At 36.6% G+C, this 23,251-nt stretch overlaps 1 protein-coding gene across 9 annotated transcripts in view, besides 1 other annotated feature; it reads left to right on the top strand.

The window, feature by feature from the left end:
- Window positions 1–23,251, top strand: part of GPATCH2 (G-patch domain containing 2) — a 204,099-nt gene that overhangs the window by 54,697 nt on the left and 126,151 nt on the right. The gene's annotated exons all lie outside the window — the stretch shown is intronic.
- Window positions 21,253–21,547: a silencer, noted in NCBI's record as "tiled region #7160; HepG2 Repressive non-DNase unmatched - State 24:Quies". NCBI's record gives its function as "represses a minimal TATA promoter and a strong SV40 promoter by Sharpr-MPRA in HepG2 cells {active_cell/tissue: HepG2}" and the evidence as "EXISTENCE:reporter gene assay evidence [ECO:0000049][PMID:27701403]".

The raw sequence follows: 23,251 nt of genomic DNA, 5'->3' as shown, positions 1-23,251 counted from the left end.
TCACTGTTACTTTTATGATGTTATAAACTTTGTGGTAATGAAACATGGATGATTTAATAATGTTAAGTTCTAGGAAAATATATTTTAACTTTAAATAGGGCCTTAATCATTGTGTTACTACCAGATAGTGTGTCATCACTGGTTCAATTTAATTCATTACATGTGACAGGAAAAATATGTATTCATAATAGGAAAATGCATTGTTGAATTATAAAACTACTTTGATTTTTTGGGATAGGAGGTACATAATCAGGCAAAAGCATTCCAGATATTGAAGTTTGGATATGTAAGTGTTTGTGTACATATGTGTGTATATATTTACCTATGTTTTAATATATGCCTTTTGTACATTCATTTTCTTTGTTCATAACCTTGATTAATACATATCTACCAACTGTACTATTTTCTGTATATAAAAGGACCCATTGCACTCACGGTGTCTTGGACAGTAATAGATGATAATAACTTGAAGCTATTAGGTTTGGATTTTTAAAAATTTAGAATTTTGGAAAAAACACAAAAAGTAAGTAGGAACAATGGGCTAAAAAATGAAGCTATTAGCTTTTAACACTTACAGAAATGAACTTTTATAGGGACTTAAAGTGAAGGCATTCTGATTACCCTTACATTTTATAATTTCTGCTAATATTTTTCTATTAAATTGAAATCTAGAGCAGGTCTTTACACAGATATTTGTTTGTTTTTTTGTTATCCTCCAAGTACAGAGATTGTATACATCCAGGATCGAGGCTTTATTATCATACTAATAGGTTTCTGGTACTGCCATTTATTTGTTTGGAAGGCCAAAGCAATCAAATTGGAAGCACATAAAGAATCAGTAACAGTTTTCTCATGTCATGATGCATTGATTTTTTACATCAGTTGTATTTTAAATCTGAGCCACTTGGAATTTTGACCAATAAATTCAAACTTTTATATTAAGTATGCTTACCTGGTTTTGTCTTTTTCTTAATGCCATTTGAAACAAAATTGACATAAACCTAGATGATTGGTTTGCTTTTTAAGGTAATGGTTGAGTGTGCTAATCTTAAGAGGATTTTTAACATCATTCCTGTGGCTGTTTCATGTTCTTATGTGATAACTAACAGTTTCCAGCTTTTTCTAGGGCCAAGGAAAAACAAAATAAAGCAATACTTTGTAATGGAAAGAACAGTAAACCATAGGTCAGCTTTGAGATCTAATCCCAGCTTTGCAGAAATCTAGCATTGTGACTTTAGGCAAGACATTTGAGCATTTTGTCTTTATTCCTCATTGATATGACTGAAGGAACCTTAAGCTTTTTATTTTATTATTTTTTGACCTATAAATGATGTTAAGTGGAAAGGTTGCCATAGACCTAAATCACTTCTCAGACCAAGAAAAATCATATAAGTGCCACATTTCCAACCCTGTGTGTGGATTTATCAGGAATTAAAAGTGAAAAAATGATCTTTCATATTTCAGGTACTGAATATATGAGATTGAATTTTATGTTTCCCTTATCTCTGAATTTGATCTCAAATTTTGCCTTTCTGCCTTTCTTTATAGTTTGCTAGATAAGCTTGCTCTTTGGAGCCAAAAAGACCAGGACTCAAATCCGGTTGGACCTGTCGCTTATTATTGACTGAGTGATTTTGTACAGTTTACTTAATCTCTGTACCTTTGTTTCTACTTTTGCAAGTGGGAATAGTAATCTTTACCTGGAAAAGTTTATGGGAGAAGAGAGGTTTAATGAATATAACATATGTAAAGTACTTAGCAACATGACAGTTCCATCACAGGTGCCCAAAAATGTTTTTTCTTTTCCTTCTCTTATTTTAGGTTTATGATTATTCCTTTTATTGTTTGTCTCACTTTGACCAATTGCATGCCAGCTATCCACAGGCAGATAAACCACCCCGTAACTGAACCCAGTTGCTGAATGTCATTCCGCATTGCAAGCCTAAGTGGAAGGGCACTCCCTGGACTTAAACTAGTCTCAGAGCTCTAGGAGATTCCTAGTCAACTCTGAAGTCAGCTTCAAGGCCTCTTTTGGGTAGTTTTGAGTTTATTGGTTTCAATCTAAATTTCCACGGCAGCTTTGGGGCTCGGGCTAGGATAGTCCCAAAGTAGACCATTAAGAAAATAAGCCCATTGCAACTGAATATATAAAAATGTAAAAAAGGCACATTTTGTGTCACTATCCTTCAAAAGACTTTCTTGGTCACTGTATTTCTCTTATTTTTCTATTTACTCAGCATTTGAGAAACCTTCAAAGAAATAATATCTCACTGTTAGGTACTTCTAAGAATAATCGTTATTTATCTTAATATTCAAACAGTGGTTCCTATTTGGTATCCATGTTAAGACTGCACGTTGCTTTTCTTTTTAAAAATCATTTTCTCAGATATCATTTTTGCCAAGCAAACCATTCTCATTCTCTGCAAAATAATTAAGTAAACATATTTAGCAAAGTCTTAATTGAGCTTTTCCTACAGCTTGTTCTGTGAGAATAGAATCAGATCATTAACATTATTTGAACATATTTCTGTAGTATAATTAACGGCCAGGATAGGTTGATTCTGAAAAGGACATCTAGCAGTTCTGACACTGAGAATTAATTCTAAAAGAAAAGATAGATTTGTGCTCCAGCTAGAATTAACCAGTGTTCAAAACATAAGCAGTCACCTTGGACTCCTAATAAGAAAATGACACTCCTTTTCTTAATATCTGACTCGTAAAGTTTAGTTAGACAATTCATCTGCTTGTCAGCTCTGTCTTTTTCTGTTTAATTAAATTTAGAAAGCAGTTGTTATTTTTCTTCAGCCCCTCCAAAGTTCATGTTTGTTGAATTTAATAAAATCACATTTTATGTGTGTTTGTGTTTAAATGGTTCAGATACTTATCAGAGGTCATTCATTCTAGGAGAAAGGGGATGACATTCAACTTAACACCTCTTCCCAATTTTAAAGAATGTCTCTTTAATTAAAGAGTTGAAAACTGTTAGTTGTTTGCAAGGAATGGCTCACATAAAATGCTGTTACTGTATTTTGATTTTTTTTTTCCAAGTGAGCACAATTATTTTAATGCTTCTAATGCAACTTTCCTCATTTTACAACAACAAAGACCCTCTTCAAATGTCTTACATTGGTTAATGCAGAGAAACACTGTGATAGTGGGGTTAATTTTGAGTGCACAAAGAGCCATTGGAGGGTACGGAGAGGGCATCTGTTGGATAAGCTTTCAATATGATGAGAATGATAACAGATCTGCCACTTGTGCAAAAGACAAGTAATCTTTTACGGTATTTGACTTTAAAAAGTGTCATTTTATTTGCTTAAAAAGCATATTGTAGATGAAGGGGTTATGAACTTTTGTGTCGGACTTCCTTTCTTCTTGCACTTCTAATGTTTTGGATTGCAGGACATCTGGATTTTGTCCTAACGTATCTTAAGTAGGTACAAAAATTACATTTGGAAATTACTTTTACAAAGGTGCTTAAACACTCTTTGCTAAGATTTCTTCTTATATTTTCACTATTAACCCTCCCTTCACCCAGAAAAGTAGCTTTTCTCTCTCATATGTGTGGCTATGTATATATCCAGTTATTTGGGAAGTCATATACTCGTCTCAACAACTGGCCTCATCTTAGATCAATTAAATCATAACCTCTGGGGGTGGAACCCAGACATTGTCATTTTAAAAGAGATTTGGTAATTCTACTATGCAGCCAGGGTGAGAGAATTTTAGAAGAATCAGGAATACCTGTGATTGAATTCTGGTTCTTAATGTATTCACTTTGGGGCCTTGGGCAAATTATGCTAGTCTTTAATAAGATTCTGTTTTCTCATTGGGGTTGTTGTGCAGATCAAGGGATTATAGAGCACCTGGTATAATGATTAATGGTTGTTCAGCAAACACAGGGTGCCCACGAAGCCTGAAAACTAGATAATACATTTTTACAGATTGAAGTTATTCTTGATGACAATGTATATATTTGCCTTTGTGTCCAGGCTTTATGGAAACTCTGGACATCATCATATAATATGGTTTTCAGCTTTTGTTTTCTTTTTCTTTCTTTCTTACAGTGACCTGAAATCTGGCTTCACAGTGTAATTGGTCCAGTTCTACTCTCTCGAGTTACACAGAATAAGTTAGATTCCCCCTTTTCACAAGACCTAAATTTAAGTTCTAATTCTTCTACTAGCTATCAATGTATCCTCTCTAAGCCTCAGTCTTTTTGCCTGTAAGATAGGTATCAGGATATTAGACAAATGAAAGGAATAGAGTTGCCACATGATTGTCCCACAAATACTTGCACATTTCTTATATCTTTTTCATGCTAGATCACCTAATTTCTCTCCCTCTCCCTCCCTCCCTCCCTACCTCCCTTCCTTCCTTCCTTCCTTCCTTCTTTCCTTCCTTCCTTCCTTCTTTCTTTCTTTCCTTCCTTCCTTCCTTCCTCCCTTTTCTTTCTTTCTTCTTTTGTCTGTCTGTCTTTCTTTCTGTCTTTCTGTTTCTCAGAATCTCTTGTGGCCCAGGCTGGAGTGCAGTGATGTGATCTTGGCCCACTGCAACCTCCATCTCTTGACCTCCTGGGTTCAAGTGATTCTCGTGCCTCAGCCTTCCAAGTAGCTGGGACTATAGGCATGTGCCACCATGCCCAGCTAATTTTCTTATTTTCTTCTTTTTTGTTTTTTTTTTTTTTTTTGGTTTCGTTTTTGTTCTTCGCTGGGCGAATTTTTGTATTTTTTGTAGAGACGGGGGTTTCGCTGTGTTGGCCAGGCTGGTCTCAAACTGGCCTCAAGTGTAGATCACCTAATTTCTTTCAGTTATTTTTCACCCTTTTCCAAACCCTTGTACCTTTTTAATCGCTCACCTTTAAATATGCTTTTTTTTTTTAATGTCTTTCAAATGTGGCGCCCAGAAGTAAAATACTGTTGAATTTATTGCATATTTTTCTTCATTTGCTCTGGGAACACAAGTTATATTAAAACAGTCTAACAATGCTTCATTTTGGGGGAGGGGAAGAGGGTCTTATTATATCACATTTAGCATTTAGGCTAACATTATACTGAGCACCTGTTTGGGTTTACAACTAAAACTCAATTTACACAAACTTATGTTGAGGTCAGTTTTCCTTTCCTCTAGAACAGTTAGAGAAAGAGAGAGTGTGTGTATGTTAAAATAAATGCCAGTTTAATGTCCCTATTACATTTCTTCTTTTTAGTTGAAGGCTGGATTTCAGCCTGTCAAGACTTTCTTTTGAATCTTGATTTTGTCACCTAACACGGTCTGATATAATTAAACTTGAGAAGTATACATTCTATTTCTTCATTCTGAGACTTTGAAGCGGGATTGATTAAACTGAAGGAGCCAAGAATAGCACCTGGTAGGCTGCCATTGGAAACATCTTTACAGATTTATTCCAATTCATTAATCAGTTTTCTTTGCCTAAGTTTGCTTAAATCTCTATTGTTTCACCTAACTAAACTCTTGGCTAGCCATAGTTTACTTTCACTGTTGCAAATAATACCATTAAAGACTGTCAGATACGCTTTTGAAGTTCTAATACATGACATTTCTTACCATCATCCTTTCAGGATAGTAACCTTTTCAGTAAAATTAAATGACACTTTTTCCAGAATTTATTCTTAGTGAACCTATGCCAGCTCTCAGTGATTAATCGTCTCTGTTCCTAGGTCTTCATAAACTGTTTAATAATATGATGCAGAATTCTACCTTCACTCGCCATCGCTTTGTTGGTTATTAGTTTGTTGGTGTCTTGAAATTTTATAGCTACAAAGGAAATATAATTCCAGGATTATATTTGAATTATCCCTGAATATCTACATGAACCTAGAAATTTGAACTAATTAAAAAAAATGTTCTCTGTCTTGGGCCGCAAGATACTTATAGAAAGATTTATAGTAAAAGCAGCATTTGAGTTGGGAAAGAAAACAGGAACAAACACGAATATCCCTTTTAAATACATATTTTGGGGCCAGGTGTGGTGGCTCAGGCCTGTAATCCCAGCACTTTGGGAGGCCGAGGCGGGCGGATCACTTGCGGTCAGGAATTCAAGACCAGCCTGGTCAACATGGTGAAACCCCATCTCTACTAAAAATACAAAAAATTAGCCAGGCGTGGTGGCGTGCACCTCTAGTCCCAGCTACTCAGGAGACTGAGGCAGGAGAATCGCTGGAACCCAGGAGGCGGAGGTTGCATTCAGCCGAGATTGAGCCACTGCACTCCAGCCTGGGCAACATGAGCGAGACTGTCTCAAAACATATATATGTTTTGGGTTATATTTGTTATCTCATTTATTGATCAAAATATCTTTACAATGTAAATATTGTTACCCATACATTTACTGATTATATTGGGGCCTGGAGAGATTAAATAATTTACTCAAAAATCTGAGGATTTGAAGAGGCTTTGTCACCCCTACCAACCCTCCAAATAGTGAATTTCCATGTTTTCTGTTCATTTTCTGGCTTCAAACATTGCCAAACGTAAATCAGAATCCCATTCTTTTTTGTCTTTAGCATTTTTCATTAGCTCCAGTTTACATTTTGGGCTCTTGGGCTCTTGTCTTCCTTGTGGTATTCTGATGAGTTTGTGCTAGTGTTTTATGTTCATCCTTGGCTTCATTCCATATCGTGTACATATTCTTTTAACCTTTGGCCTTATTTAATTTCATTTAATTATTTATTTTTGAGGCGGAGTTTTGCTCTCGTCGCCCAGTCTGTAGTGCAATGGTGCAGTCTTCGCTCACTGCAACCTCCATCTCCCAGGTTCAAGCAGTTCTCCCGCCTCAGCCTCCCGAGTAGCTGGGATTACAGGTGCATGCCACCACACCTAGCTAATTTTTGTATTTTTACTAGAGGCGGGGTTTCGCCACGTTAGCCGGGCTGGTCTCGAACTGCTGACCTCAGCTGATCTGCCCGCCTCAGCCTCCCAAAGTGCTGTGATTACAGGCGTGAGCCATTGTGCCTGGCTGGGCTTATTTGATTTATTACCTTAAATACTTGCTTCATAAAATGGGTCACACATATCCACCCCACCCTCTGCTTGCTTACTTAATGACAACATTCATTGTTTTTATTTAGAATTTTGAAGAGAGTAACATATCCTTCCTTATGATATAGTTTCTTCTAGTATTTTCAGCCAAGTCAAACGTATTACTTAACTAATTAAAAACATGTGTCCCCAAATATCTGTCTACTCCCATTTCGTCATCTGTACTGGTCTCATATTAATTGTTTTCTTCTGGAGTTCTTTTTTTTTTTAAAGTAAATATCACTATTGTCTTTTTAGTTGTTCATACTATAAACCTTGCTGTCATCCTTTTACTAATGAATATTTTACTAATGTCATTCATTTACTAATGAATATTTTAATTCATTAGTAAATCCTAGTGGATCTATTTGCAGATGTATTCAGAATCACATCCCTTCTTATCACCTTCAGCTCCACCTTCTTGTTCTAGCACCACTACATGTCTTTTCTGATGTTTACAAAAACTATTGGCTTTGCCTTTGCTCTCTACGGTCTGTTGTCAAAACAACAGCTAGAGTGACCATGGTCAAATAAGTTCCATCTCATCATTCCTATACTCAGAACTCTTGAATGGCCTCCTGTCTCACTAAAATAAAATCCTGTACTAGCTTACAAGACAAGACCCTATATCAAAGCCCCTCTCCCCATCTTTCTGAGTTTCTACTTCCTTTCTCTTTGCTCATTTCTGTCTAGCAACACTGGCCTTGCAGTCTTGCCTGCATGCTCCCAAGATAGCTCTTCCCTCAGCCTGTAATGTTGTTCCATTGCGTGCAAGCATGGCTCTCTTCCTCACCTGTTTGAGGCATTCTCTGACTATTTAAAAACTGTAACCCCCTTGCCCCAGTACTCTCAATTTCACTTTTTTGCTTTTTTTCCCCCATAGTACTTATCTGGTCTGTGTGTTTTTATTGTGTGTCTCCTCTCAGTGGAATATAGGCTCCGTGAAAGCAGAGATTCTTATCTATTTTGTTTATAGCTCTGTGCCCATGGCCTTAGCACACTGTGCCTGACACATAGTACTCGGTCAGTGTTTGAGGGAATGCATGCATTCTGTACATTCAGCTTTTAATCCTGCGTTTTAACTTAATATATAAGTATATATTAATAACCATACATTTTAATGGTTGCATAATATTTCATCATGTAGATATAAATATTTTCTTTGTTTAGGTTTTCACTTTTATACTGTTATAAATAATGTTGGGGTTTTTTTGTTGTTGTTTTGTTTTGTTTTTTGAGACGGAGTCTTGCTCTATCGCCCAGGCTGGAGTGCAGTGGCACGATCTCGGCTCACTGCAAGCTCCGCCTCCTGGGTTCACACCATTCTCCTGCCTCAGCCTCCTGAGTAGCTAGGACTGCAGGCGCCCGCCACCGTGCTCGGCTAATTTTTTTGTATTTTTAGTGGAGACGGGGTTTCACCATGTTAGCCAGGATAGTCTCGATCTCCTGACCTTGTGATCCGCCCACCTTGGCCTCCCAAATTGCTGGGATTACAGGCGTGAGCCACCACGCCTGGCCATAAATAATGTTTTGATGAACATTTTGGTGAATGAGATTTTCCTTTCTGAGACACGCACAAGGCATGCACAGGTATAAAATTATTTCCTTAGCATGAGTTACTTCAATAGAATTACTTTGTTGAAAACTGTAAATATTCTTAAATATTTAAAGCCAGAAGGCTTATACCAGTTTATGAACGGTGTCTAGATAACTCTTACAGAAACATCAGACAGTCCTCACCATTACATATGGGCATTTCTCCTGCATTATGTCTGTGTGTTCATAAAGCAAATCAGATATAAGGGAACAAAATTTGCACTGAGAACCAGCTAAGGTAGTGTGCTTGCACGTACTTTACAGTTGCATTGTTTTAGTGGCTTTGTGCTTTATCATAGATGATTTTCAAAATGTATAAGACATTACATTAATGGTAATGCTAATCATGAATTAGAAAAGAAGGGCCAATACTCTTAAGCAAATGGTAGATGTAAGTAAGAGCTATATTTAGGCTGGGTGCGGTGGCTCATGCCTGTAATCCCAGCACTTTGGGAGGCCCAGGCGGGCGGATCACCTGAGGTCGGGAGTTCAAGACCAGTCTGACCAACGTGGAGAAACCCCGTCTCTAGTAAAAATACAAAATTAGCTGGGTGAGGTGGCGCATGCCTGTAATCCCAGCTACTCAGGAGGCTGAGGCACGAGAATCACTTGAACCTAGGAGGTGGAGGTTGCAGTGAGCCAAGATCGCGCCATTGCACTCCAGCCTGGGCAACAAGAGCAAAACTCCGTCTCAAAAAAAAAAAAAAAAAGCCAGAAGTTATATTTGCTGAGTGATGTTTTAGTTGTACACTCATAGCCATAAAAAAACCTTTTACTATTAACTGTTTGCCTGAAAATAACTGTTATTATGAGTCTAAAAGCCTAATTTTCCAACCACAAGTTTCTCATTGAAACAATAGTTTTAATATCATTTTTAAAATTGTGAAGTTTGTTAAGAGTAAAACTGCCACAGTAGCAAAACAGTCTATATTCTATTTTAACTGTCTACTTTTGTATTAAATTCAAAAATGTAATCTCAATATTTCAACTGCATATTTTAACATACTTTTAAGGTAATTTGTACTCATCCTTTAAGTGTTAATTTAAATGTCACTTTTGGATGCATGCTTTCTTGATCTTTCCCAAAGTGATCAAACTGGTTAGAAGAATAATGAAGGAAAGTAAACAAAGGAATGGATATTTTCCATATGTTTCATTAATAATTGGATTGATGAGTTAATTTTTCATATACTGGATGTGATATTCATTCATATCTTTTGCCCATGTATTGATTTGTATGAACTGTATATAAAAAATTAATAATGCTGTGCCTGTCATATTTGTGTGTAATGAATTAATTCAGTATACAAAAAGGAGATCTGTAATAGTGATACATATGCAGTTTTAGACCTAATGATAGAAGAACATCTAAAGATTAAGGAGTTTACCCTTCCCACAGCATAGGATGAATATTCAATTGGTAAGGACAAGTGAGCACAAAAGGAAGTTTTAACTTTTCAATATCTTTATTTTATATCTTTTTTCTGTATTTGAATTGCTTCAGCTGAGGCTGGATAACTGCTAGTCAAGTATCTAAAATTTCTATATTTATAAGAAAGTTGCACTTACAGAATGCTGTGGTAAAAATTGCAAACTATTTGCTTTTTCATCTTATTTTATTGGGGATCTTTTTTTTTTTTTTTTTTTTTTTTTTTGAGACGGAGTTTTGCTCTTGTTGCCCAGGCTGGAGTGCAATGGCATGATCTCGGCTCACCACAACCTCTGCCTCCCAAGTTCAAGCGATTCTCCTGCCTCAGCCTCCCTAGTAGCTGGGATTACAGGCATGTGCCACCACACCTGGCTAATTTTGTATTTTTAGTAGAGATGAGGTTTCTCCATTTTGGTCAGGCTGGTCTCGAACTCCCAACCTCAGGTGACCCACCCGCCTGGGCCTCCCAAACTGCTGGGATTACAGGCATGAGCCACTGCGCCTGGCCTAGAGATCTCTCTTACTGTAGATATTAGGTTGGATCGCACAGAAAAGCATAGAACTTTTTTTTATATACGTTTTATTTATACGTTAAGTTTCAAGCCTTAAATATATTCCTTAGAACACTTGGTTACCTGAAAGTGTGGAGATGTTGATGAATTGTCTTAATAGTTACAAAAAAGAAAAAGAAACCTCACACATCATGGATACTCATTTGCCAGTTTACAGTGTTAAAGTAACCATGTAGCAATGAATCTGTGTGTGAAATGCATGCATATGTATGTTTTCCTAATTCTTTTAAGAGTATAAAATAATACAGTTGTCCATGCCTGTTTTTGCTCATCACTATTATGATAAGTGAAATAAAACTCCTGGAAAGTATTGTTTTTCTTTTCAGGAATTTCCTTAAATTTCGTAAAGAATAATAACTGTTTATTTTAAAAAATTGAATTTCTCTACTTAGGAATTTTTCTGTATTCAGTTACAAATACAAATACAAAGTATTAAGTTTTCTTTTTTTCTCTTAATGTACATTGACTATAAATAAATGCACTTGCCCTTATACATTTGCATGTTTGAAAATCAGTATTTTATATATAGATTTAAGCGTTGGACTAAAGGAATTCCAGGGACTTGAGGTTCTTAGAACATTTAGGGCCTTTTGTATTGCCAGTAGTGAATAATTCAGTGACTAAAATCTCAAATAATAAATCATTAGTCAAATTAGCATTACCTTTTAGAGTTGAATGTAAAATTTGTTGATCAGCCTATTCATGACAACACAGGAGCCCACCAGTTCCTGTTTTTTGTGCTCAGCACTGTTTAAACATTCTGCTTCTTCTTTTTCAACTCTCCTCAATGATGTCTAGTTTGAGAGGCAGAACAAAAGTATTTAATGTAATATTTGTAAAGGAAATAAATGAGATCGCAGTCATTTTTTTTAGACTATGATATCTAAAAACTTAACACTTAGAGCCAGCAGCACGTTTTTGTCTTTCCTAAAGTATGCATTATGGAAATGTATTAATAACTTAATATATGGTTGTACCCAAGTTAGGATTTCACTGATATTTGTTTCTTTCTTGATTTTTCTTAATGAAAGAAGCAGACACTTCTGAAATAGATTGTAGCCATGGGGAATTTCGTGTCCTTGGTTGTTCAACACACATACACCTGCTGTATTATTTGGCCATAAACCAGAAAAAAAGTTGTAGCTGAAATGGAAAAAAATGGGACATTCTGTTGCATTTTGAGTATGTTTTCAAAGAGTTGCTGGAAGGTAAGCCTTGACTCGGTGATGTAATGTGTGGAGTCAAACGGAGTATTTGCCGTGCCGGAGAAAACTAATGGAAACATTCACTTGGGGTAAGACAAATGGTATTAAATGAGAAAACACACCATGAATTGCAAATGGAGCTGAGTTAATTTGTTGCTACAGTAGTGTTGCCCTACTGTTAAATGAAGGCTGTGTAATTATCTTGCTGGCAGAGATAATGTCAAAACCTCATTTCTCCTTACATGCCTCGTTTTTACATGAGGGCTAATTGAGCTGCAAGGTGACAACTGATTATATATGGCTATCATCTGGTCCTCTTGCTCAATTTGCAAATAACGTTACCCTTTTTTACAGTGATGATTTTTATCGGACTTCGAGTAAGATATTAAAGAAACTTTTTGAACTCTTTGAGTAATTCACAACATTCCTTTCTGTCTTCAAATTATTCTGGAATAAATTATCGTTTTTATACATACTTCTTTTTTTTTTTTTTTTTTTTTTTTTTCGAGACGGAGTTTTGCTGTTGTTGCGCAGGCTGGAGTGCAATGCCGCGATCTCAGCTCACCACTATCTCCGCCTCCCGGGTTCAAGTGATTGTCCTGCCCCAGCCTCCTGAGTAGTTGGGATTACAGGCATGCGCCACCACGCCTGGCTAATTTTGTATTTTGAGTAGAGACGGGGTTCCTCCATGTTGGTCAGGCTGGTCTCGAACTCCTTACCTCAGGTGATCCACCCGCCTTGGCTACCCAAAGTGCTGGGATTATAGGCGTGAGCCACTGCGCCCGGCCTACATATACTTCTTTAAAACTTTCTCTTCATTCTTCTGACGTGTCTATATAACTGTAGTTAGAGATAGCAATATTTGTTTTCTTTTTACTTTGTAGAGCATTATAGTTATGTTGGGTCAAAAATTATTTCTCTCCTGTTTTAATTTCTGGAAGTTTAAGCTTTTTTAGGTATTGAAAATAGGATGTCAGCATCAAATAATAGGAAAATGTACCTTATTTCTTTATCAATGTCAATCAAATTCTTACTTAGATTTCTTTCTTGTGGATATATAGGACTGAACTCATTAACCTCTAGGTTTTTTCTGTCTCACTATCATGGTAGGTCTCAGTAGAAAAAAAGATGTTTGTTTACCATAGAACCAGTTTTATTAATTTTGGCTCAGTCCATGAGGAGGCAGCATTTTATATAGTATGATTTTTTATTTATTTGAAGTTTGAAGGGTTGAGCAGTATAACTATTTTTTGTAGTTTTTAAGGTTCCTGAATATATACTAGATGCAATTCATTACTTCAAGGAAAAGACCTAATAGTGGCTGTATAACTACAAGATAAATTGTTGCTCCATTGGAGAATCTTCTGGCTTAATGCAAAATTCTGCAAAGGAATTCAAGCTAGGGATGTTAAGCTAGGCTAGTAGGAACGGATATTACCTTTACTTGTGGGATAGTCTAAATTTGAGAATAAATATCAGACAACTGGGTACTTTGGAGTCCAAGTGTAGTTTGGAGTGAATAGAAACCCCATAGCAACTTAGCAAACTTGTCCAAAGTCATTAACAATAGCAATAACAACAGAAGTTTATTCATAGAACAAAAATAGTGTGTTGCCCAATATTTCATAGTACTGTTAAAGTTTTCAAAGTTTACTACTAGAAAAGAGTAGGAAGAATAGCTGATCTGTACTGTTTTTTTGGGTGCCAAGTGTCTTAGTTAACCTTTACAACAACTGCATGAATTAGAGAGTATTATCCCGTTTTAACAGATGAAGAAACCAAAGTGCAGAGATGTTAAGTGAGTTATTCAGGATCACATTGCTAGTAAGTGACTCATGATACTAAGCAAACCCTGTGGTTTGAACATATGTGTCTATCTCCAGTTTATTAATGATAATATGGAAGCTCAGTGAGCCGAAAACTTGTTTCAGATTAGACCACTGGTAAATGTACAGTGTGGTTCACATCTGGATCTTTTCACTCTAGGTTCATTGTTGTTGCCCTCGTCTTTGTTAATTTCTCTTTCTATCCTTAAAACCAAGCCCCATATTTTCTTGATCAGTGTTTCTCTGTCCTAGTAGTTTTCCAACTGTGTTCCATGAAGCCCTTGATTCCCATAAGTTGCCTCAGGCCTAGTGAAGGTGCCAAGGCATGGGTAAGAGGATAGGAATCCAGCCTGCCATCATAGTAATTCACTTAGCCTTAAGGTTCCAAGCAAGATTTTTATTAGGAAAATTTTCCTGCCGAAAAAGTTACAAAATAATATGCTCTACTCCATGTAACATTATTCCTAGACCTCTGTTTACACCTGTTTATGAAGTTAATAAACCCAATGCTGTGTTTTAAAAAAGGGAGGGGGGCATTCCGTGTTAATTTCAGTAGTATTTCTAAGCCACTTGTCTCCTCCCCAAGCACTGGAGTACTTTTCAGATCATTTGGAATTGCTAAGGTTGATCTTGACTGCTGGGGCACTAGTGTGGTGATAGTTTTCTTGCACTGCGGGGCTTTGGTGGTAGAAAGGAGAAAAGTTGTATGCTCAGGTATGTTCAGAACTTGGCATGCCTGATTGAAGAGAGATATTCTTCCTTGAAATTCCAGTATACCTGCTTGAGAAAACACAAACTAGAACCAGTCCCCAGAGAGAATAATTTTTCTATCCTTAAGGGCTTGCCATTGCCTGTTAGAGATCCTTTGGGTCCGTTCAGAAGCAAGGCAGGTACCTAATCATACCCTGCAGAGGAGAGTGTCTGTGAGCTGTGTACCCCATGTTTCTCCTCTACTTCTTGCACTTGTCAAGGGATGAAAACAGTGGTGATGATCTGGTTTCTGAAAGTCTGTAGGTCACTCAGACTTTCAGTGAGCCAGGCTCTAGATAACCACATTTATCTCAGAGGAAAGTGGGGAAAAGACCATTGGCAGAAGAGGAAATACCGATGTGTGAAGACACCGTTTTGAAAATGAACTTGGCACAAATCAAAGTTTGAAAAGAATAAACAGGATTATTTTGTGCAGTTAAAAAGAGAAGGAGTTTCTACTGAATATGGTGGGCTTGCCTAAAATGCATTAAATACACACACACACCTCGATGACAAACGTCATCATACATCTTCTCGCTGCTTGAAGTGTCACCTATTTTTCAGTTTTTTATTCTCCAAGTGTGATTTTATCTCAGTAACTGCTGTGCGTATGTTTTTAGATAAACCTTTTCTTCAGTTTTAGTGACACCAGAGCTCCTCCTGTCAGCAAAGCAATGGTGTTTATGATTATTTTATTAAGTTTTGTAGCAGATGCAGTTATTGACCCTCATGTTGAGTTGTAATTTTAAATGTCTGGTTTGATTCTGCATTCAAGGAAAAACCAAGTGTATTGCAGAAGTGACTTTGAAAACTGCAGCATTTCAGGAAGGTGTAAATAATGCACAAATAGTATAGAGGTCTTTTCTTTCTTTGTTTTTGTCTGTTTGTTTGTCTGTTTGTTTTCCAGAAGTGAATGGAATTACTCACATTATCAAAACTGTTTATTTTTAAACTTTGAGTATTCCCTTACCTTTTCAAATGAAATTAGGACTAACTGAGCATCCTTCTTCCCTACCCCATTAAATAACACTTACCACTGTCTATGCCAACTTTTAAAGTTAAAATCTTAAAATAGTGCCATCTTACACAGAGAAAGTGAAAAATGAAAACTTTAACTGATTAGTACCTGAAGAAAATATAACCGCCATGGGAGACAGACAGTCATTCTTTGTTGTTAAAACAGGGTTGGGAATGCTACTAACTTCCAGTTGGAAGAGTCCTGGGATGCTGCTAAGCATCCTGTGTACACACCAGTCTCCCACAGCAAAGAATTAACCTGGCCCCAGATGTCAATCATGCAGGGGTTGAGAAATTCTGCTGTAAATGAAGCACCTACAGAATTGGAGGTTCATAATTGTTGGGCCATTATATTCCGAATGTTTGAAGTTTGCATATTCACTTAATGTTTTATTTGATAACCTTAAGGCAAAATGTGTTCAAGAAAGTATATATAGGTGAGAATTGGCTGCTGCATTTTATTATATTTGGAAAGTGTTTGTGCAGAAATGGAAAAACTGGGTTTTTTCATTCATTCAACATGTATTGAGCCCCACTATTTGCAAGACACTGATGAGCAAAGAGGAAAACAAATACCCCTGAGGAGTTAAATGATGAAGAAAGTCAAACAGTGACTTCCAAAACCATTTGCTCAGAGCTGTGATAACATACAAGGAATAGGATACTGTGGGTATAGCGAGGAAGGACAAGTAGCATGCACTCACAAGGTGGATGTAGGCAAGGCTCTTGGAGTACAAGCTTCTTAAGCTGAGCCTTGCAAAACAAACACGAGTAACCAGGAAAATGAGGTGGAGAGGAAGAATAAAAGGCATTCTGGCCGGGCATGGTGGCTCACACCTGTAATCCCAACACTTTGGGAGGCCAAGGCAGTGGCTGAGGTCAGGAGATCGAGACCATCCTGGCCAACATGGTGAAACCCCATCTCCACTAAAAATACAAAAATTAGCCAGGCATGGTGGCGTGTGCCTGTACTCCCAGCTACTTGGGAGGCTGAGGCAGGAGAATCGCTTGAACCAAGCCTAGAATAGCCTGATGTGGGAGAGTGAGGGGTATAGACCTCTCTCTCTCTCTCTCTCTCTCTCTCCCTCTGGATTTTTGTGTCTCTTGATCTCTGTCTCTCTTTCTTGTGTGTGCTAATGGGTTCATAGGCTGTCTCTCTCAAGCATTTTTGGGCTCTCACTTGTTGTGGTGTCTGTCTTTAGCCCAGCTCAATCTCTGGTTTCTCCCTGAACTGGGCTGGGGCTCACTTGCTGTCTCTCAGGCTCACCTGCTCTCTTTCTCATTCATTCTCAACCAGGCTTGGGCTCTCTTGGGATCACCCTCCCTTTTGCTTTCACCTTGCCTGCTTTTCAGTGTTTCTACCCTTCCTTTTTTCCATTTCCTTAAGCTAGCTTATATGTTTGTAATGCCATAAGATGAGGGTAATGATAGTCCTTTGTTAAGCATGGAGAGAAGAGGGCAAGGTGGGTGATAGTGAGAAATAGGACTGTAGCCAGCTCTCAATGGAGTAGTAGAAAAAGGAGTTTGATTTTTTATGTCACAGGTATGGAGGGGCCGTTGAAGGCTCTATATTGAAAAGATATCTAGAATCTGATCTTTCCTCGGTATCTTTTGAAGGATTTTTTTTTTTTGCAGGGGGTGATATGTTTATGCTTTAGAATGAGTCGTGATCCATGGCATAGTATAGTGTTTGAGAGGTATCTTTTGGCCTTAGCTGATCTGGTTTGAATTCTAGATCTAGTACGTAAAGCTCTACACATGCCATCTAACCTCTTCATGCCTCACTTTTCTGAGCTATAAAACAAATATGTTTTTATAGGATTTTATTGTAACATCCGAGAAGATTTGGTGCCATTTTTAATTAATTGTTTAATTATTTGTTTAAATTAATATTATTATACATATTCCTGAGGCAGTGGGGAATATTTAGAGCCGTGTGGTCAGTTGAGTGTGAGGAACTTGAAAAGTGATAATGGGGGCCTGAAGGGGGATATTTGCTGCAGGGAGAATTAGTGAGTATGGTAGACCCACTTGATTTGTTGCCTACCAAGTATAGTTGGAAGAAGCAAAAAGGAGTAGTAGTCAGGGATGACTTCTAGGCTTTTGCCTTAACTTTGATTCATTGTGGTCTTTTGTTATGTTTTATTATTATTATTTTATTTTTTAAAACCTTTTGTAGAACAGGTCTCACTCTGTTGCCCAGGCTGCTCTCAACTCCTGGCCTCAAGTGCTCCTCCCACCTTGGCCTCCCAAAGTGCTGGGATTACAGGTGCGAGCCACCACTCCAGGCCTTGTTTTGTTTTAATGATGACCACAACTTGTTTGAGTTTTGATGGGGTGGAATATAGGAAGTCTAAACAGGGAACGTACCAGAATTTAATTTAAACACCTCGATGCTAAAGAATAGGGATTGGCTGGCAGGATGGCTTGTGGACTTCTTAGATTGGTTCTTGACTTTTTCGTAATCAGTTGGATGCATGTAGTCTACATAAAGGCTTTGTGAGACACTTTATTACAACAAAAGATCATGAAATTTGTACCTTCCGTGTTTGATTCCATTGTTGTTTAATGTTAGATTAAGAGCCCTGTTAGTAAAAGATACATGAGTTCACATGTATTCAGTGTCAAAATATTTATTTAGTATACACTACATTTCAAGCATGGTGTTAAGTGTTTAAATATATTACCTCTGTTACACACAGAAACCCTTCAGGACAGTGGTTATCAACACTGTACAGATGAGGTGACATTAGCCTCAGAGAGGTGAATGATTTGTTCAAGATTATGCAGCCAGTCTTTTTAGAGCCCTGTTTCTAATTATTTTTTTGTGCATGTGATTTCAAAACATGTGGTTTTTCTACAATAATATGAAGCCATTATATAAATTTAGTATCATTTTAAATTCAAGATTGATGAAATTACATGAAAATGCTTTGAAAAAGTCAGGGGGTTAAAAAAATTAATGGTTTGAAAATCGTAAGATGTGGATCATGATTCAGAAGCGTTTTACAGATTAACTTGTGTCTTCAGCTTATTAACTTGTTAAATGGCAATAAAGTTTACTTCTGCTTATTTTACGGTATGATGGTCATGTACTGAAAAGTTTTAGGAATTCAAAATTTCATCTTATGAAAGATACATTAATGGGCAGTATAGTATCGGTGCAGGGATAGAAAAATAAACAAGTGGAACAGAACAAGGAGTCCAAAGCAAAAGCACTCAAATAGTGTCATCTGACATATGACAAAGGTAATATTATAGATCAGTGGGAAAAGGATAGACTTTTTAATCAAGGATGAAGAGATAATCAGTTATCCATGTAGGGTGAAATGAAGTTGGAATCTCTATCTGATAGCACATACAAAAATTGATTCCAAGTGGGTTTAATACAGAAATGTGCTACAACATTTTTGAACAAATATCGGAGAACAACTCTATGACCTCAAGGCAAAGAATTTTTAAGTAGAACAAAAAAGTTTATAGAGGAAAAGACTGTTAAATTAAACCACATTAAAATGAACGGAATTTTTTTTTTTTTTTTTTTTTTTGAGATGGGGTTTCACTCTTGTTGCCCAGGCTGGAGTACAGTGGTGTGTGATCTCACCTTACTGCAACCTCCACCTCCTGGGTTTAAGCAGTATTCCTGCCCAAGCTACCTGAATAGCTGGGATTGCAGGCACCCGCCACCACGCCCAGCCAATTTTTGTATTTTTAGTAGAGACGGGGTTTCACCACGTTAGCCAGGCTGGTCTGAAACTCCTGACCTCAGGTGATCCACCCGCCTTGGCCTCCCAAAGTGCTGGGATTACAGGCGTGAACCACCGCACCCGGCCAACTTGACATTTTTAAAAGATGTAAAGAGAGAGAAACAGCACACACATACCGAGCCACAGACTGGGAGTGGCTTTTTCAAATGAAAAATAAACACTTAGCAGAAAGATGAGCGAAAGTAAAGAACGAATATTTCACAAAAGAAGAAACACAACTGATCTATAAACATGATATGTGTTCAACTTAATTAGAAAGTAGGAAACTGTAATTAAAGTCACAGTGAGATAGCATTTCACCAGATTGGCAAAAATTAAAAACAGACAGTACAAATGATTATCAAGGTAAGGATCATTGGCTTCCCCGAAACATTGTATCTGGGAATACACACTGATTTATCTATTTTGGAAAAAGGCACCAGCCAGTAAAGAATGCATATCTCACGAATTTGTGATGGCCCACAATGTATATTTCCCAGGGAAACTTCTGCACTTTTGTGCTAGGAGGCATGTAAAAAATATCCATAGTAGCAATCTTTGTAATAGTATAAAACTGGATGAAAAAATCATAAATGTCTCTTGGCAGGAAAATGGATAAATTGTGGTATATTCATTCAGTGGAATACTATATTAATAGTAAAAATGATCTACAGCTAGATGCACCAATGTTAATAAATCTCAAAGTACAATATTGGAAGAAATGAGCAAGTGCAGAATAATGCATACAGTTTGTTTCTATTTATAAAAAGTTTAAAGATTGGCAAAATGGAACAATGTTATTTAGGGATACATACACCAGTGGTAACAACTAATGAATAGAAAGAGAATGATTAAATCAGAATTCACAGTAGTGGTTGCCCCCCGAAGAGAAGGGGGAAGATATAAATGTGGCATGGTGAATGGGGACACTTGGAGTATGTTAACATTCTAGTTCCTGGGTTGGGTTACTGCTCCTTAAACTATTCGTGTGGTTTTTGTACAGACTTAACTGTACAAGCTATATTTCAGAGTTTAAAAAGGATCAAAGCAATAGATGTTAGGATTTTCTTATGTATTTTTTATTCTATCCCATTAATGGTTTAGATTCATGTTTTAAAGAAAAAGAAAATTTCTTTCTTGGATAAATTATAAAGATGTAATTCCATTCATTACATATCTCAAACCTCTTTTCAGTATTAAGAAAGAGAGAGCAGTTCAAATGATTTATAAGTTGACTATTTTGTTCTGCCTGTTGTATAGTACAAAGTAAAGAATTTGGAGTATGACCTGTATGTCTCAGCCTTAGTCTCTCCCTCCGTAAAATTTGTGTAGTATTAATCCGTACCTCATAAGATTGTATGATATAGGTACATGAAAGAAGTTCATAAACTTTAAGGTGAAGTGCAGATGTTCATAAACTTTAAGGAGAAGTGTAGTGTAGGTGTTAGAAATGTATGCTACTTTCTTATGGAGCTGATCAGCAGAGGAGGAAAAGTTGGAAAGGCTTCCAGTGTCTAATTCTCTGCAGCTTTCCACCAAGTGATAACCTGGAATACTTGGTTGAGATGTTGCTTTATGTTAGTTATGTCATTGTCATGTTTTTTGAGAAACAATTTGATTAATAAGTATCATGGACATTTTTCTTTCTTTACCTTACAGTGCTCCCGAGAGTAAGTAAAAGTGAGATTCAAAATGAGGCCAAACCTATAATAGTAAAATTACATCAGAACTTCTAAACCTTCATACCCTAACGTACAAGCAGGAGCAAATTGTCCTGCTCAAGCTGACATTTTAGCCAATGTGGCAGAAAGCTACAATAGTGTGTATATGAAACCACTTGTAAAAGAATTTGCAGACAGAAACTTCCCACTTAGAATTTTGATTCCTCTATAACCTTATAAAATGAAATTATTGAACATCATTAGACTCTGAGGAATAAAATAAGATATAGACAGTCTTTCTAAATAGTTGGGGTTTTGTATTAAATTATGATGCTAGCTTACCTTTTGCTGCATTACTTTTCACGTTGGTTTTTAAAAAGAGGACCTGGAACAAAAAATACCTATCTCAGTAAATCTTGGTTTTAGAAATCCATTAACAGTGAGAATGTGGCAACAAAGTAATGGCATAATTCCAAGAAGGGAAAGATTCAGGTGTCATAAATTTTCAAGCCATCTGTACACTGAGCAAACTGATGAGTGATTCATGTATTTTAGAAGAATGGAAATCTTTAAAGTTCCTACTCTTTGTAGCACTGTCTGTAAAAGCTTGAGTGCTCAATAGTACAGGCAAAAGCTCTCAAAAAATTTTCCAACTATTTTGCAGGGAAAAGTTTGTACCTTTATAAAAATAAAATGGATAAATATGGGAGAAAAGACAATTTGAAAATAAAGAATGGGGTTTTTTATTATTCACTTTTTTCCCTAAGTCAAACTCATCTAACACTCCAGTGTAGTAACATATAAGAAGTATCAAAGTACTTGTTTTTTAAAATATTACTATAATTTGTATAGGATTTACATTCCACCTACTTCCAAAACAGATTTACAGTTAGACTAGTTTGACTTCTGGAAGATTAGATTATGTCAGATTAAATAAAAGAATGTGCCTTATCAATGGGTATATATATTCCTGAATCAACACATAGTAACTACAGCATTTGTGATAATAACAATAATGTTCAAATTGTGGCAGTTTTAATAGTTTCATTATTTCTTTCCTGTGACTGTCACCTCTTAGTGTTTGTCGTACTATAGATACAAGTTAATCAATTGCCAGGCAATGTAGTGTTATTAATGTGATCTCAAGAGATGCTCAAGTACAGATAGGGCCTATTTCATACTACATGCTGCTGTGACTTTCAGAGCTCAGTGAGGATGAGGTTGCCCTAGCTAGTGACCTCATAATTTCCAGAAGCAGGTGGAGGTGGCAATTATAGCTTTGGCCACTATCTTGAACTTTCTGTAGTAGGTGATGAATTGCAAATGGCTAGACCCTGTGCACAACAATAAACTCAAATAAATCTTCAATGTGTAATAATGACAAGAGCGAAAGACTGGCAGCTATAACAAGGCTTCTGTTGTCACCCACTTTACTGTAGCCTTGGTATTCATCATTATCAGCTGGAGCTAGCTCAAGAGCTGGACAAGAAGGTCCGAAGAAGGATGAGTTGTTTGCGCTGAAGCGTCCAGTTGGTCCCATCTGGACGAAAGTAAATGGGATTTTTTTTGCTTGTTCACTAGGCCAGAGCTGTCCATCATTTTAGGCAGGTATCTGATCACTTCATGCTGTGGGACCATATGGCTTTACACTGTTTGGTTCTCTCTTGGTTGTTCAATGTAACATTTCTACCCTGTTTGGAAGCTTTTGGTTACTTTTCAGTTATGTAAAAATGCCATTGTATTTCACAAAACTGAGCTAATGATATTTTCCATTGTTGACAAATGATTTCTCAAATGAGAAAATAATTTTAATGCAACTTGACTCACAATCGAAACCTTGAATCATGTGAGGCTTTTGTGTTGAATAAGAATGCATTTATTGTTCCTTTATACAACTTACCACTTTTAATTTTCAAAACAATAATGTAGACTATACAAAAAATTGTGTTGGAACTTTAATTTTTTCTTAAAATATTACTTAATGTTCCCTAAATACTTTGCTATTGTTAATATATCTAGTATACATATTCTTACAATTACAATAATGATATACCTGTGACAGTTCTGTCAAAATTGAACATTGTTTGACTTAAAGCCATATTCACATGATCCTTCAACATTTTAGTCCTGTGATGAAATTAATCAATAAAATGTGATGATTGGATTTATTGTTCTCCCTTAGATGTATACCAAATTTTTTAAAGTGCAGAATAGAGTCTGTTGAGTATTCATTTATGAAGCCCCTATAATTACGTATTTTGTGATTATGAGGTTCTTAAAATGAAATATTGCAAATTTAGCTACTGATAGGTAGCTGATTTTCCTGGTGATTAACCACAGACATCTTGAATAGAGATTATAAACTAAGCAACCCCTTAGTTTTTTTATTACTTTTTTTCTGTTGATTT

This window comes from Homo sapiens, chromosome 1, assembly GCF_000001405.40.
Source record: "Homo sapiens chromosome 1, GRCh38.p14 Primary Assembly".
Classification (NCBI taxonomy): Eukaryota; Metazoa; Chordata; class Mammalia; order Primates; family Hominidae; genus Homo; species Homo sapiens.
The sequence above is the reverse complement of the archived record's forward strand: the minus strand, read 5'-3'. Positions and strand labels throughout refer to the sequence as shown.